Genomic DNA, 18,007 nt, shown 5'->3' on the forward strand with positions numbered 1-18,007 from the left:
CATTTTGGTTCCTATGCAAATGCCAGTTCTTCTGCCTCAAATCTTCTCCCACCTGTTCTCCAGAATGCTCTCCCACTTATCATTTAAATCTTAGCTTCACTGTGCATCGTAGGAGGCTTACCAGATCCCTGTCCTCTATTTGCTAGATGCCAGTAATCCTTCCTTCTTCCAGATGTGAAAATTAAATAGGTCTCCAGACATGACCTAATGCCCCCTAGGGAAACAAAAGTAGGCCCAGCTGAGCACCACTGCCCTATACCTTACTCACGACATCCTGTTATAGCTTTTCATGGAAACTAGTTTGTAAACCTCTTTTGTGACTATTGTGTGATGTTTACATTACATACCTGAATTACTTCATTATGGATAAAAACTAGTTCTTTTGCTTACAATGTATCATCTATATATAGATAGTGTCCAGCATGAGTAGGTACTCAATAAATATTTGTTGGATAAATGAATGAATTTCATTCTCATACAAACTCTATGGAATATGCACAGCCAGAATTAGCAACCCTATTTCTAAATTGAGGTAGAAGACACACTGAGTGGTTCAATGAGAGGCCCCTGAATCACATCATCAATAAACGGTAGACCTAGGAATCCATTAACCTAGGTTTTATCACTCTCAATTCCTCTTACCAGCATGTATCCTTTTACTGCCATTACCATGTTTTTAACCTTCTCAGATTACTTCATCTCCTTTCTCTTCCAAGTTCTTTATCACGTGTTGTCCTTGTAGTCCATGCACAGAAATATACACCTAGCTCTATATCAAGGGCTGAAAAGCTCAGACTTTACAGTGGCTTCCAGTGATGCTCCACTCTGCTGCTTTTAAAAACTCACAGCATATTAAATATAAGAGAGGTGGTTAGGGCTTCTCATGTAATAGGAGTGCAAGGGGGTAAAAAAAAGTCAATAGCTCTCCTGAGTAAATTTGCTTTCATCATACACTTAGCTAGTCTTGTGGTCTACTCTAGTAAACAGTTAAGATACTCTAATCTTAAGGAAGCCATTGCAATATTGTTAACTAGAACATGGAATAACTTTTAAAGATGGCTGGCTAAAATTATCTTTTACTTTCATGCTGCTTAAGTATGGCCAAGCAGAAAAATCTCATTTGAAAATGAGAATTCTCTTAAATGGTACTTTTAGCATGCTAATGCACTTCCATGTTCCAAGGTTTTGAATAGCAAGATCTATATGGCACACTCAATTTTTTCCCTCAAATAAACTATTTTTCAATAGCCTAAGGGCCATAATGGTCAACAAGTGTCTGAGTGAGGACAGGGAATGCTGTTGAGAGGTAAATTTGACTCAGAGATGCCCCTGAGCCATGGAAAGGAGCTGTGCTGGTGGGCTTTGTAATGTTAGAATCCCTTTACTGTTACCAAAGGCTGGGGTTGACGCCTAAGCTTTCCCATCTCTCTGCAGAAGCAGAGAGGATAGTTAAGCGTACATGATCTGGAGGTCAACTTTCCAGATTAGAATCCTAACTTCAACGCTTTTTAAATGTCTGATCTTGACCAGATTACTCTACACTTTGGGCCTCAGTTTCCTCATATGTAAAGTGGGTTTGATAATGATGTTTATGTCATATAATTGTTGTGGGAGATTAAATGAGTTGATTCATGCATCCAGCATAAAATAAGTACCAAATAATAATTGTTACCTATTATCTGTCTTCTTTACATGTACATATTTCTATTTCTGTGTAAATAAAAGTATTTGGTGTTTTAGTAAGCTCTGCCCATATCCCAGATTTTATCATCTCACTAATTCACAAGCACCTTTAGGGCCTAACCTCCATTACATTTTCATCATCATAAAAGTATCACATTTGATTCTTACAACAATCCTAGGAGGTCGGGATGGTTATATCCATTTTACAGATATGAAACTGAGATCTAGACTAGTTGGACTGTGCCTGTGATTATGCAATTAGATAGTGTTGGGGGGCCAGGGCTAAAGCTTTGGACTTCTTAGGAATACTCTTCTTTTCTTTTCAAACCATAGAATTTTCACAGACTCAAGTAAGACTTGTCTTAACACTTTTAGGATATTAAAATGACTTCAGAGCAAAGCTCCCTGGGAATCTGTTCTCCCTACTCCCTGCTCTAATCAATGTATCTTCACTGGGTAGCAGCTGCATGTTTTAGTCAGTGTTGCGTAAGTCTCTGTTTCTATCTCTCTCTCCTTCTTTACCTCTTCCTCCCTCCATCTCTCCTTTCTTCTCTCTTCCTTACTTCTACCTCTCTCCTTCTCTCCCTCCATATTTTTCTCTCTCTTAGACACACACACACACACACACACACACACACACACACACAAATACTTTATTCGTCTATTTCATATAGAAGGAGAAGGTGTCATTAATAATGACTTTGAGGTTTCCAACATCTGTAATGAGACAACTGTGATCAGGTGAGAGCCAATAGGTGAACTTGGATTACTAGTGCATGGAAAGGTCATGCATTAAATGAAAAAGCAAAGAAATGGAGTTTGGATTAAAAAAATAGTATGGAAACGGGAGAGAGCAGTCCTTGATTCTAGTAAAGCTTGTAGGCAGTGGAACAATAATAATTAATTAAAAATATTTCTGAGGGAAGGTAGATGAGTCTGGGTAGCTATTCACTTCACTAAATTGATATCATATGATATTAAATAATTAACAATCCATTAATTATTTACAATGTACATTTGGAAAATTTAGTTAATATCACCAAGCTTTAGTTTTCTCTCTCATAAATTGTGAATAATAATTAATAATAATATTAATCTCCTAGGATTATTGTCAGGATTAAATGAATACTTACACTTAAATATTTCTTAGAGTATAAGAAAGTACTAAAGATTAATAAATAAATGTTAGCTATTGTCAACAGTATTATTATTTTATTAATGCTATCAGGAAGGGACAAGTATAGAAGGCCTCCAAGATGAGGGTGATAATAGATTTCTATTTGATACTTTAGGCAATAAGAAGCTATGAAGATAGAATACCTATGACTGAAAAGATATTTTGCAGTTATTTGTTAAAATAAGTATTTAGATTCAGGGAGTTCAGTTAGAATTTATTTGAAAGAACCAAGTACTTCTAAGATAGAATAAGATGTGTAACTAAATCTCAGAGTCATTAAAAGCATTGATCTCCAGGGCTCATGAGATCTAGGTCTATTCACCCCCAAATGAAATTGCATAGAGAATGCTAATGTATCAACAGAAAAACCCCTAAATGAAACGAAATAAAACATTTGAAATTATACTATGAAGTCAAGACAGTGATATGTAAACTCTTCCAAAGCACCATAGTCACAGACAATGGATTCCACCAAAATAGGCCTTGCAAACTTTGCTTCATTGAACTATGTTGACATAATTAAAAGTCAGTTAATGTAGGGATCACAAACATTTATAGTGGGGAGAAGCTTTTGTGATATTTACTTTTATAATGAACTGAGACTTAAATATTGCTCATGCACAGAAATATGTTTTGTGAACTTCGCAAGAATTCTTTTTTCATCAGTAATCTCTTCATTAAAAAGTCGAAAAGCAAGGCCCTTAATCATGTCATATTCTTTTGGAGTCCTTTACTCAGCAATAATTTCATTTAAAAACATTTCAGTGAACACTAATTGAACAGAAACTGTCAACTTCCTTTCATAATGAAAGGAAAACTGCCATGATGAAGAGTTTCTAATCATTATATCTAATTAAAAAGTTAATCCTTAAGTTTTTCATGTTTAAGTTCTTTCAAATGTAACAAAAGAATTTCTCTTTCAAAAATGGGAAACAAAGCACAGTCATTAACGAACAATGCTTCTGTGATAAAGCTACAAACTTGGAATTAAAAAATATTGGCCCAAGCTTTTATGAGGAAATTAGGAAAATTACAAGAATCAGCCAAACCTTGGCCTTCATTGACCTATTTTTTTAATACAGAAAAATTTCATTGTAGCACTGACAGTGAGGGATCAAAAAATAATTGGAATTTAAGCCTTTTGAAATACAGAGAGAAAAATGGCCTCTGCATCTCAGCTCATGGGGGAAATGAGACATGACTCACTCTCTCAGTATGAGTAAAGGTAATTCTTTTAGGTCTAGAGATAGAGTTAGAAGCAAGTTCTTCTAAATAAGTGAGGCTTTACCCCAAGATTCTGACTCACAGGAAAACCTTTAAAGCTACAGTCTAACCTCCTGAAGCCTAGTAGAGAAAGAGAGGATTCCTAGGCAAACATGGGAGATGATCCACCCAGGCATGACTGTCTCACTCTGTTCGTAAACAAGGCAGAAGTGGGAGAAATAGTTCTGAAAGACTAAATGCAAACTGCAAGATGATGAGCAGATTGCTTTGACTATCTCTACTTCCAGCCTATGCGTGCAAAGTATTTTAGGATACTGTGTGATGATCAGAGAAAGAAAACTTGTTTGAAAGTACCGTTTTCTGGATGGTCAGGCCCCTCAAAGTAGTAACCAGATCCAGAATATAGTAATGCATTACATAAGGGGCTTGCAGATTTCATTAACAAAGACCAACAAGATCACTCCCAATAACTAAGTTTGCTCATTCTGGTATTACCCAATGTAGCCTCTAGCCTATTATAAAGCAGTCCTCGGTAAAGGCTGAGTATCTATAGCGCTGAAATAATATGATTAGATGTCAACTCAGATCATGGTCTTCACTGAGCAAAGGCAAAAATATTTCTAATGCAATATAACCTTATTTCATTCTATATTATTGCCTCTCAGGGACAGGAGGGACAGAAGATTGAGCAAAAGTTTTTGTAAAATAATTTTTTCACATAGGCGCCTTTTAGATTTCATTGACATCCTCTGCTTTCTGCCTTCACTTTACATGTTTTTCCAGGAGGCATACATGCTATAATGAAAACAAGTGAGAAATGTGAAGTCTTTGCTCTGTTGCTTATGAGGTGTGTATGACCAAAAGAAAGCCTCTTGGTTTTTCTGAGCCTTTATTTGCTCTAATGAGAAACAGGGATAATAATCCCTGTTATCGCAGGGTTCTTCTGAGACTCAAATACAAAACGTGAAAACATTTTTGGAAACACAGAAATGAGTTTTTGTGTGTGAGGGAAAATGATTTAACATTGATTGAATATCCACCAAGTACCAGGTACAGCACTAAATTCTTCATGTACTAGGTCTTTTCATAAAGTAACCCTGTGATATAGGCATTGTACCCATCTAAGAGGTGAGAAAAGGAAGTGGGAGAGATATTGAGTAACATAACTAGGGTCTTAAAGCTTGCTATTTGTAGAGATAGAATTAAATTCAATTTTGTCTGTCTCCAAAGACAGTGATCAGCTCCCAGAAAGTAGAAATTGTTCTTTTGGTAGTACATTGTTTAAAAAAGCAAGGTTTTAATGTGAGTCATCCAAGGTTTGAATTCTAATGCTAAAATCACTCAGTGTTGCTATGAGTAAGTTGCTTAAACTCTCTCTGAAGTTTTATTGTCTCATCTAAAAATGGGGAAGAAAAGTAACTAACCCCTATATTTTTGTGAAGATGTCTAGAAAAAAAATGCACATCTAGCAATTAAAAGTGTTATTTGGCATACATTATACATTCAATACATGTTAGCTACTATTGTTTAAAAATTACTACTTTTTAAATTTGTTAGTAACCAATTCAGTAAATTATCTAGGAATCTCATAACTTTTTATAATTTACTCTGTGTATTCTAAAGATGAGGCAGTTTTTATTACATATGACTGACCATTGACCAAAAACAATTAAAGGCTAGCTAAGTTAGCTTAGATATATAAAAGAAATAAATCCAATCAGGTACAAGGTGAGAAGTTATGGTTAAAATAAAACAGAATTAATAAGGTTAGGTAGACAAAAAAGAATATTGCCAAGTTAGACTAAATGGGCAATGCGCAAATCCTAACTATCTCAACTGACAGTACGCTACCTTTTGAGTTATCATTAATGAGTAGTATAATTTACATTATGTATTATAAACAATATGGAGTATATATCCCCTCATTGAAAACATGAAAAAGTCAGTATTAAAGTCCTAATCTCTAAATTTATATTCTCCCTTAACTGTTTTATATAAGCTTATTAAATAAAGCAAAAACACATTAGAGCATGAGTTTTTCTCCTCATGCAATGACCTTTATCTCCGTTTGATTTATATGCAGAAAAACAAAAGTAATTCCAGCTGACAGATGACACAAAGATCAGAGAGGCACAAGGGTTCATGTAAAAACAAGTCAATTTGTTATTAAATATTGGTAGCACAAATAATTAGCTAATTAGGCAAAGTTTTTCTATAAACCTATTTCTTCATCTGTAAAATGGAACTAATATCTTCAGTCTCACACAGTTGTTGTGTAGGTTAGATAAGTTAATACGAATAAATTTCCAGCCTAGCTCCTGTCATTTAGTAGGGAATCATCAAAGTAGGTTATCTTCAATAGTTTCTTTTAAGTATTTTGGAAAACACCCCCTCTATTTATCAAATGCTTACAGGTTCTAAACTTTGTCTTAGGTATTGGTGACACATAATACTGCCCTGCCTTTAAGGATTTCACAGACTACAGTAGCTAATCATTTCACTAAATTGACATCATGACGGAATGACTATAGAGTGTGATGAAAAATAACATGGCCATATTGGTTGGAAGTCTAGGCGAGGTTGGGAAAAAGTAGACCAAGGAAAGCTACAGACAAAAAGAAATGTCACTGAAGCTGGATTTGCAGAGGCGGCAGGAATTTGGCAGAAAGACAAGAGAGGAAATGATTTTCCAGGCTCAGAGTAACGACATATGTGGTAAGTTATTCTCACCTCATGCCTATAGTTACCAGTGGAGAGACTTCTCCAGGCTAATTCTCTGGACCTCTTTCCCCATCCCCAGAAGATGGGAGTTTTATGCTAGGTAAGTTTGAAAAATGGGACTAGGAAAGCTCAGCTCACCCCTGCCTCCTGGGAGTCAGCCTGCCTGCTAGAGCCTAGCATTCCCTTTTCACTGTAAGATGAGGTTAGCTAGGAGAAGCTATGCTTCTGCAAGAGAAATTGATAATTTGAAGGGTAAATTGAGTTCAGGGGTATGTTAGCAAGCCCTTTGGCTGCCTACCATAGCCAATTCTTCCAAGCTAGCTTTTTATCAGTAGTAGTTCTGATTTTTATAAGCTATCAGAATCTGGCACCTATATCTTATCTGGGTTTGACCTTAACATAAAAAAGACTCTATTAAGCCTTGTCAAACTTGATAGAGAATGAAAGTTTAGATGCGAGAAATTACATACTATATCCAAAAGGTGGTACTTCTTATTTTTTCAGAAGAATAAAGTACTTCAGAAGTGGGAAGGGAGATAAATTAGATGTAAAGGCAGGGGGGTCCAATCCTTGGCTTCCCTGGGCCACATTGGAAGAAGAAGAATTATCTTGGGCCACACATAAAATACAATAAAACTAACAATAGCTAATGAGCTAAAAAACAAAAAAAAATTGCAAAAAATCTCATAATATTTTAAGAAAGTTTACAAATATGTATTGGGCAGACAGGCTGTAGGTTGGACAAGCTTGATTTAAGGTTTAAAGTTGGTCAGTGAGTAAGTTATAGGGGTTTCTCTGTCACACTAAGGAATTTGGTCTGTATCTGAAAGCAGTGTGGAGCCAATGAAGGATCTTAAGCAGAATGACAAGGCAGTGTGTGTGTGTGTCGGGTGTGGGGGTGTGGGGCGGGTGGTGTGTGTTGGAAGTATTCTGGCAGCTTTAGGTGGATAGATTTTGTGGTGCACTGGAGGCAAAAAGCCAGTTAAAAGGCAGTTCTAATAGTCCAGGCAAGATCTCTGCAAGTAGATTTAGTCATTGATTCATTTTTTATCTCAACTTTTTTTTTTAGATTCCATGAAATATAAGACAAAAGGTCATCACACCCTACTTTTCAATCACAATTTAAAGATATCATAGGCTGGGCACGGTGGCTCACGCCTGTAATCCCAGCACTTTGGGAGGCCAAGGTGGATGGATCACCTGAGCTCAGGAGTTCAAGACCAGCCTAGCCAACATGGTGAAACCCCATCTCTACTAAAAATACAAAAATTAGCCGTGCATAGTGGCAGGCACCTGTAATATCAGCTACTTGGGAGGCTGAGGTAGGAGAATTGCTGGAACCTGGGATGCGGAGGTTGCAGTGAGCCAAGATCACAGGCCATTGCACTCCAGCCTTGGTGAAAACAGTGAGACTCCGTCTCAAAAAATAAATAAATAAAAATAAAGATATCATAAAGGCTCAGATGGGTAAAAACTTCATATAATGAGAGTTCCAATAAGAATGATTCTCTTAAACTAAGCCGTTGCTGAAGTGAAGAGATGATTATATGGACAATCTAGAACTCATCACAAATACTCATACCTAATTTAAAAAACATTGTCTAAAAGGCAAGCTAAATTTCCCCAATTATGCAATAACTAGATATTCTACAGAAAAAAACAAAATGGGGAGGACATGAACCTCCTGTCTAACGCCATCTTTCCTTCCCTCCCTGGACCACGCATTGCCACCACCAGAAAAAGAGTCTGCATGTAATAGCAGCCATATAACAGACTAGGGTATAAAGGTTCATGAAAGATAATACAGTACACCATTCACCTTGTAACACTGTAACACAATAGGAGGTAAGTTCTAGAAGATACAGAGCAAGACTGGAAATTGCAGCTGTTGGCCTAACTCTCCATATTCTAACCTAGGTCCTTCTTGCTAAACAACCACTCTGTTTTTAATTTATTGAGTTGTATGAGTTTATTATCTTAAAGTTATTAAGTAATATCTTAAAGTTATTATGCATAAGTAAAAATTAGGAAATTGAGCTAGCTTTTTAAAGAACACCTCTTGGCCAGGTGCAGTGGCTCACACCTGTAATCCCAGCACTTTGGGAGGCCAAGGCGGTGGATCATCTGAGGTCAGGAGTTTGAGACCAGCCTGACCAACATGGTGAAACCCCATCTCTACTAAAAATACAAAAATAAGAAGGGTGTGTTGGCGCATGCCTGTAATCCCAGCTATCCCAGAGGCTGAGGCAGAAGAATCGCTTGAACCTGGGAGGTGAAGGTTGCAGTGAGCCGAGATCGCGGCACTGCATTCCAGCCTGGGTGACAGTCTGAGACTCTGTCTCAAAAAAAATAAATAAATGAAAATGAAGAACATCTCTTGCTCTCTATAAGAGACAAAATTTAGGAATATAACGCCATATTTTTTATTCAGCAATAATTTATTAAGGACTTAATGAACGTTATCTTCTGTGTTAGGTAGGTCACCAATCTGTCCTTTGGATAGAACTGCGGTAGCCACACTGGGCTCTGAGCTTGGGGTAAGGGTGGAGTATGCCTAAATTATATCTAGTTGTCTTCCAAATTTCAAAGGAGGTCAAAAATATTTTATTTATTTCAGAATTTGACACATTTACCCCAATAAAATATGATGAAGTCTCAAAAGGTAAAAGAAACGTTAAATAGAACTTTCAGAGGTGTAAGTGAATTATTTTGAAAACTATATTGTTTTTACTTCATCATTAAACATATTAAATTTCCAGAAAACCCATCAGCAATAATTAATTTCTGAGCTGTATAATTACCTAAATAAGTATAGTTCTCTGATCATTTTCATCAACGAATGCAGGCTTGCATAAAATTAGTATGAAAGCAGTGACTCTTTGGACTCAGAACCTGAGCTCTGATTACAAATCAGTTCCTTGGTCATGGTATAAATTAAGGTAAGTTACTTTGCTTCTAAAAGTCTACTTGTGCATCTATAAAATGAGGATAAGATGACCTATCTCCCTATGTTATTTTGGGGGTTATGTTAAAATAATATTAATAGTATATGAGAAATGCTTAATAGTTGGTAGTTGTTAGTATAATTATAATAGTAACATAAAGCCATCACATAAAGCACATGGCATTATCAAATGCCAGGGCTATAAAAGAAACTATGCATCCAGGCTGCCACTTTTTTCTTTCTTATGCATGGCTATACTAATTTTCACTGTATTCTCTTCTGGGGGTGCCTTGATGAAGTCTCATCATTCTTCTGAGCACCATAATCCAGACAATCACTAGGAATCAATCGGAGCTGACACAGTGAAACATGAATCATTTTTTAAATCTACTTGAACTTCCTCATTTTATAGTTGAGATGTAGACACTAAGATTCTGCGAGTTCACTAGGGTGATTCAGGGTCCAGAGTAGTACAGATACTAGAGTCCTGGTTTCTACTTCTGTGCCTTTCATTTCAACACACTCACTCATTTTCTTCTGAATTGTGAAATTCAAACATGAATTCACATTGGGGGGGTCAGATCACTTGATATAATCTGCCACTATAATATTTCTGCTGATCTTTGAATTAAACCACGACCCTTGAAATACACAGCTTACAGAACTGAAACAAGAATCTGTTCAGAAGACTATGCACTCTGTCAAGGCAACTATAATGGTATTCTATCATACAGTAATTTTAGTGATGTGATAATGGATATTATGCCAAGCTACTGCCACTCTGGATAAAGACATCTCATGATGACAGGACATTTTCAGATAATGACAAAATGTGGTTTATCAATTTCTACATCAGTTTAGTCAATTGGTCTGGAAGGTGCAGAGGGAATATCTGTTCCCAGTGGCTGAAACGTATTCCCGAAAACACAACTTGTTTATTACTATCTTAAAATCGAACTGAAATTTAAAGGAGGAAAAAATTTTAGAGCAATGTTTGGCTTTTTTTTTCAAAATTCCTCTTAGAATTTAATTAAAATAATCAATATCGACTCTTGAAATAAAATACTTAGAATGAACAACAGACACAGGCCTGTGATATGATTTTGTTACTTGAAACTTAATTGTGAGAAACAGACAGGATTCCACTGTAAATGTTCTCAATCTCTTACCCTGTTTCTCCTTCACGTTTGGAGGAGTTGTTAATGAACCCAATGGATGTGTTCCAGAGATGTACTTATGATTTTTTTCTCTCTTTGAGTTGGGGTCTTGCCTGTAACCTAAGCTGGGGTGCAGTGGTGGTGCAATCACGGCTCACTGCAGCCTCAAACTCCTGGGCTCAAGGGATGTGCCTGCCTCAGCCTCTGGAGTAGCTGGAACTACAGGTGTATACCACCATGCCTGGCTATGTTATTTTACTTTTTGTAGAGATGGGGTCCCACTATGTTGCTCAGGCTGGTCTCCAACTACTGGCCTCAAGCAAGCCTCTCACCTTACCCTCCTGAGTCACTGGGATTACCATGCCCAGCTGTACTTATGATTTCATATTTCAACTTGAGAGAGAGAGAGAGGAAATAATATGCTCAAAAAAGCTAAAATATTTTTTCAGTAGGGTGAATTGATGATTTCCTTCTCAGCATTCCCCCCAAATTCTTTTTAGCAACTTTCCAAAGGAATCTGGGATATACATCATCCACTGTATTTAAATAAGATATTCCAAATATCTTTCATGAAAGTATTAGAGAAAGGGTCAAGACCTAAAGAGGGGGGAAAGGGTCAATAGCAGATATTGGGTGGGGATGATCTACAGCCTGTGGTCAGTATCTGGGGGCTTTATTAAGATACTCTCCCAATTTCCAACTTAAAATGTGGTAAATTATAATTGACTTCATAAGATCAATACTCACCCATGTGAGGTAACCTCAAAGAATTTGAAAAAAAAAAAACACCTAGACGAGCATGATTGATTAATATATTAGCCTGTCTGAAGAAAAATTGAATCAATCAGAAGTTTGGGAGGAGGTTAAGGGTTAAGAATAAAAGAAAAGAACAAGGGTAGTGAGTGAGAGAGGCAAGTATTGTCTAGAAATCTAGGAACTTACTAGATGAGAAGGAGTGTGAACATTGGAGTTCAAACATTGCTGCAATTAAAATTTTCTGAAGATGTTTTGACTCCAGGAAGAGATATATAATACCTGCAAGTTATTTTTGGCTTCCTTTATTTTTCTTATCTTCTCACTGTCATATTCTGCCTCAGGAATCCACACTATTTAATCCATCCTTTTTGCTCTACATACAAAATATATCCTCAGTCTCTACAATAGATCCCCATCCCCATTGCTGCTACCTGAGTCCAGCCATCATTATCTCTCGGTTACAAGTACTGCAAAATATCATTCTAACTAGTCTCCCTCCTTCCATTCTTGCCCCTCCCCTCAAACTCATTCTCACTGTATACAATACATCATCTCATGTCTTTGTTTAAAGGAGTCCAATGGCTTTTTGTTGAACTTTGAGTAAAATGCCGACTTCCTTCCATGCCCCCAGTCTACCTGACCCAGCCTTACCTAACCCTCCAAACTCTATTCTCAGCCTTCTTCTTGACACTTTCTCTTGTCCACACTAGCCTTCTTCTATTATAATAACTTGTCAAACTTTTTCCAACCCTGAGGTCCTTGCGTATGCTAGTCTTTTATCTGTAACACCACCCAAGAATTGTCATAAGGTTGCCCCCTTTTCACCTTTCATCTCTCAAGTAGGAACTCAATTGCCTCCTCATTAATACTTTCCTTACTTTAATGTCTATCTAAAGAAGCACCTCTCCAACCTATCCTCCATATCACATTACCATAATTTAATTTGTAATAGCACACCCCTGTCTGAAGTAATCTTATTTGTCTACTTGTTAACTTTCATATTTCTCTACTACAATGCCTGTTGTATTTATTGCTATGTTTTCAAGTTCCTAGAACAGGGATTCTTGGTTATACTATCTATTATCAATATATGTTTGCAAATGAATAAACAAATGAATTTTATGAACATGGGCGTTTCCATTCATGTGAAAATTATATGTTTCATGCAAATCAATGACTTTTGCATACCTTGATATAAGGTATATTTTAACTAGTCTGAGTCAGTTTCTTGGCCTCAAATCTCCCTGGACACTTAGAATGATTGTCTGGGCTTTCAAAAGGACAGAATGTGAAGTTCAGAGACCCAATCACAGTGTTACCTAAAGAAGCCCCTTGCGACCCCGCCTTGCCAAATATAACACTGTTCCACCTCTACCAATTTTTAAAGATACCACCCTTTCAATCACTCATAAACATTTTCAGGTCCTATCCTGGCAATAAAGTTACAGAAATAAATAAGGTATACTTTGTTTTCTCACAAAGCTTCTAATACGATAGTTGAAACAGACCTGTAAGTAACTACAATGCTAAGTGTAAAGTGGGCATATTTTCCACATTTTGTGGGAGCACAGAGAAATGAAGCCCTCAAATAAGATAACATTAGAAATGATCCTTGAATGATGAGAAAGATTTTATCCAACACAGAAATAGAGTCATTACAGAGAGAGAGAGAGAAAAGCATGAGCAAAGATTTGGCTGGAGACTGCATGGTGGCTTCAGGGAATCAGAGAACAGTGAATAGTTGGGTGTGACCAGAACACAACAGTAGTGGTTGGAGATGGAGCGGGAAATACAGATTGGGGCCAAATTGAAGACAACCTTGAATGCTTTGCTAGGGAATCCAGTTTTATTTTGTAAACTAGTGGTTGGCAATCTGTTTTCTATGAGATGTTCATAAATAAACGTTCACGAAAAAGGGATTTCATTATCACACACATTTAAGAAACGTTCCACATATTTTACCAGTCTCTTGGAGATATAAGCCCCCAAGAGCTTTGAAAAATCCTAGGATAAAAAATAGAGAACTGCTTAAAACATGTTTAATCCAACATAGACCACTCATTAACATTTCCAAAGATACGTAAGTGTAAGTCAGATTACACTTAAAGTGAAGCCTTCTTTAAATGATTTGAAGTTGTTAAATCATTTAAATCAGTAAGTGATACAAATAGAACTGAGTGTTAAGATAAATTTGGCAGCAATATTCATAATGGATTGAAGAGATCTAGGAGGCTACAGGTTATTGCAAACAGTTTATGGGAATGATAACACACCAAAACTCAAGCACGGAGAGCAGAAATGTAAAAAGGGAAAATATTTGAAACACTCTGGATATAATTCTATATCAATTAGTGATTGATTAATTCATGAGGGCCCTAGGAATAGAAATGTAATGGATCTGGTGATGACTTCCTGATTTCTGACTTGGCACACTAAGTGAATTGTAAAACAGGTTTGAGTGCAATGAAGAGCAAGAAAGAAGAAGAATGATGAAAATAGACTGAAGGCTCTGAGTGAACTGCAAAGAGTGGTAGGGATCTTAAAGTCAATTGTTATACTTGCGTTTGATTTAGTTATTGGAAAAACGAGTCCATAGGGAACTCCCAATTATGTTGGGTTGTTTTGTAAACTCAAAAGAATCTCTTTCCTCAACGTACTTACAGTCTTCAACCTATTTAACTGTTATCATTCCATTCAGTCCTTCGAAAATAATGTTTCTTCTACTAGAAACCAGACTGCTGTCATGCTGCAGGTATGTTGTTTTCACTTTTCCTTGGAACAACCAGAAGGTGCCCAGCTTTGATGAGAAGAGTCAAGAGAGTTGTTGCATCTGTAAGTTTTATTCTAAATATTAGAATCAGCAGTATAAGAACAACGTGTTTGTAACAGATAAAATGTTATACAATCAAAACCATATAATGGTTTTGATTTTGGGTGGAGGCTGCCTACATTTTAAGACATGTAGACTCAAACTTATCTTTAAATGTCTATATTCAAATTTCATAAAATTCCTATCCCTATGTAAACATACTAAAATAGGAAATTTCCAGGATATTTCCCTTTCCCATCTGATCAGTCACATTGTTTTTCCTCTTCAAGCTCTCTTACTGTCAATTTAATGTCCATATTGCACTCTTCTGCAAACTGTCTACAGATAGAGGCAGATAGCCTGTCTACTTCTGTCTGTTGCATGAACTATTTTTTCATATGTCACTCAATTTAATCTTGCTCACTTATATCAGGGTGAAAAAAAAAGAACATTCAGCTCTTTTCCTTCCAGAGAACAGACACAAGGAAAGGGGTTTCAGTGACAAGAAAGACAGGTGCATAGATCACTCATGACGATGGTTAAGAAGACCCTGCTATATTTAGGATAGGTGGAAATTTATCTTACTAGGAATTTTAAATGGGAACTACTTTCCTATTTGTATTTATTTCCTTAATTCCTTCCTACTTTCCTTCCTTCCTTCCTTCATTCCTTCCTTCCAGTCAAAAAATTAAGCATGTTTTAAATTGCCAACTGGGCATAGTAATCTATTGTGGCAGGTATTATAGAAGACATCATAAGAGCTTCGTAATAGAATACAGTCATAGGAAAGGTACTCATTTTAATTACCAAATAAAAGCAAATTACTATAGCAATGTTCTTCAATTTTTAACCTATCAAATTAATAAAGGATTTTACAAAGATAAAAACATCAAGAGTACAGGCAGAAAGACATGTTCATACACTCTTCAAATGGGGGAATCATAAATTGGTAAAGCAAATAGTTTTAGAAGCAATTTGGCAATTAACTCTAAGCTCCATGGGCCAATAATCAGTCTCTCTTATTTTCCAGTATATCCCCATTTATTAACCTAGTGTTTTGTCTTGTGTTAACTGTTTAATAATGAATTGCTGAATGAGTATTGACTGAATGACTATGTAAATATTATGAACCTTAAAAAATTCACACCCTTTGACTCAACAATTGGTCTTTTTCTAAAAATATATCCTCACGAGAAGTGTAGTCAAAAGTTCTAGTACACCAAGGTTTACTTCACTATTGTTTATATTAACTTAAAGAAAGGTAACCTACATGCCCAACATTATGGGTTTTGGTAGAAAAAGAATATTTGGCAGTCATTAAAAAAGATGTCAACAAGCAGCCAACAAACATGAAAAAAGCTCATCATCACTGGTCATTAGAGAAGTGCAAATCAAAACCACAATGAGATACCATCTCATGCCAGATAGAATGGCGATCATTAAAGTCAGGAAACAGGCCAGTGCGGTGGCTCACGCCTGTAATCCCAGCACTTTGGGAGGCCGAGGTGGGTGGATCACGAAGTCAGGAGATCGAGACCATCCTGGCTAACATGGTGAAGCCCCATCTCTACTAAAAATACAAAAAAAAATTAGCCAGGCCTGGTGGCGGCGCCTATAGTCCCAGCTACTCGGGAGGCTGAGGCAGGAGAAGGGTGTGAACCCGGGAGGTGGAGCTTGCAGTAAGCCGAGATCATGCCACTGCACTCCAGCCTGGGTGACAGGCGAGACTCAAAAAAAAAAAAAAAAAAAAAAAAAGTCAAGAAACGACAGATGCTGGAGAGGATGTGGAGAAATAGGAACACTTTTACACTGTTTTACACTGTTGGTGGGAATGAAAATTAGTACAACCATTTTGGAAGACAGCATGGCAATTCCTCAAGGATCTAGAACCAGAAATACCATTTGACCCAGCAATCCCATTACTGGGTATATACCCAAAGGATTATAGATCATTCTACTATAAAGATACATGTACACATATGTTTATTGCAACACTATTCACAGTAGCAAAGACTTGGAACCAACCCAAATGCCCGTCAATAATAGACTGGATAAAGAAAATGTGACACGCATACACCAGGGAATACTATGCAGCCATAAAAAAGGATGAGTTCACATCCTTTGCAGGGACATGGATGAAGCTGGAAACCATCACTCTCAGCAAACTAACACAGGAACAGAAAACCAAACGCCACATGTTCTCACTCATAAGTGGGAGCTGAACAATGAGAACACATGGACACAGGGAGGGGAACATCGCACACTGAGGCCTGCTGGGGTTGAGGGGCTAGGGGAGGGATAGCATTAAGAGAAATACCTAATGTAGATGATGGGTTGATGGGTGCAGCAAACCACCATGGCACGCGTATACCTATGTAACAAACCTGCATGTTCTGCACATGTATCCCAGAAGTATAATTTTAAAAAATGATGTCAACAAGAAAAATATTTTTCTAACTTAGAAAAATGTTCACAATATGATGTTAATTTTTAAAAAACATTGCAACATGATGCTAATTTTTAAAAAGAAGTTATATTCTTAACTTCTCACTTAACAGACATATATAAATGAGACTCAAGTTTAGCTAGATCTGTGAGCACGTGTCAATAAAATTTGTATCTTTCACTGAAGATACATATACAGAGACAGATAAAAGGACTAAAAAGTTGTTACTACATTAACTGTAGTTAACTCTAGGTGGAATTACAGGTGACTTTTAATTTTTTAAAAATAATTAATTCATACTATTTTTTACCATAAGCTTGTATTATATTTAAACTAAATAATACAAATTGTTTTTTAAGTAGCTAAAATATTCAGTTTTAAACTAAAAGGATTTATGATTAACTACTAGTTTTTATTTTATTAAAAAATAAAACGTGGGCCAGGCATGGTGGCTCATGCTTGAAATCTCAGCACTTTGGGAGACCGAGGAAGGTGGATCACTTGAGGTCAGGAGTTCTAAACCAGCTTGGCCAACGTGGTCAAAACGTGTCTCTACACCAAAAACAAAAAAAAATACACACACAGACAGACACACACACACACACTAGCCTGCCATGGTGGCGTGTGCCTGTAGTTCCAGGTACTCACAAGGCTGAGGCAGGAGAAATGCTTGAACCTGGGAGGGCAGAGCTGAGATTGCACCACTGCACTTCAGCCTGGGTGACAGAGTGAGACTCTGTCTCAAAAAATAAAATAAAATAAAACAAAACTTGAAGTTGGAAACATATTTTTAAAAATTGTAATTAAGTATGATAACAGGTATTATAGAGATTGAGTAAAATAGATTAGAGAAATGAAAAATCAGTGTGTAAACATAATCAACTTTAGAGCTAGTATATAAACTGAGCTTTGGACAATGAATGTCATGGATAACTAACTATAATAACCATAACTGTAACAGTCAATGTTGACTGCTAACTGAATAGTGCAGCCTGTCAGAATAAAATGCAAATGTGTTCAATCATAGATTTTTTATGCAATGGTGGTAACTACTGTACTCCAAGCACTTATATTTAATGATGAAAATGAT

The 18,007-nt window shown here is 36.6% G+C and overlaps 1 protein-coding gene across 46 annotated transcripts in view, besides 1 other annotated feature; it reads right to left on the minus strand.

The window, feature by feature from the left end:
- Positions 1 to 18,007, minus strand: part of DLG2 (discs large MAGUK scaffold protein 2) — a 2,173,362-nt gene that overhangs the window by 830,439 nt on the left and 1,324,916 nt on the right. The gene's annotated exons all lie outside the window — the stretch shown is intronic.
- Positions 4,280 to 4,339: an enhancer, noted in NCBI's record as "active region_5356". NCBI's record gives its function as "activates an Ori minimal core promoter by ATAC-STARR-seq in GM12878 lymphoblastoid cells {active_cell/tissue: GM12878}" and the evidence as "EXISTENCE:reporter gene assay evidence [ECO:0000049][PMID:35858748]".

This window comes from Homo sapiens, chromosome 11 (genome assembly GCF_000001405.40).
Source record: "Homo sapiens chromosome 11, GRCh38.p14 Primary Assembly".
Lineage (NCBI taxonomy): Eukaryota > Metazoa > Chordata > Mammalia > Primates > Hominidae > Homo > Homo sapiens.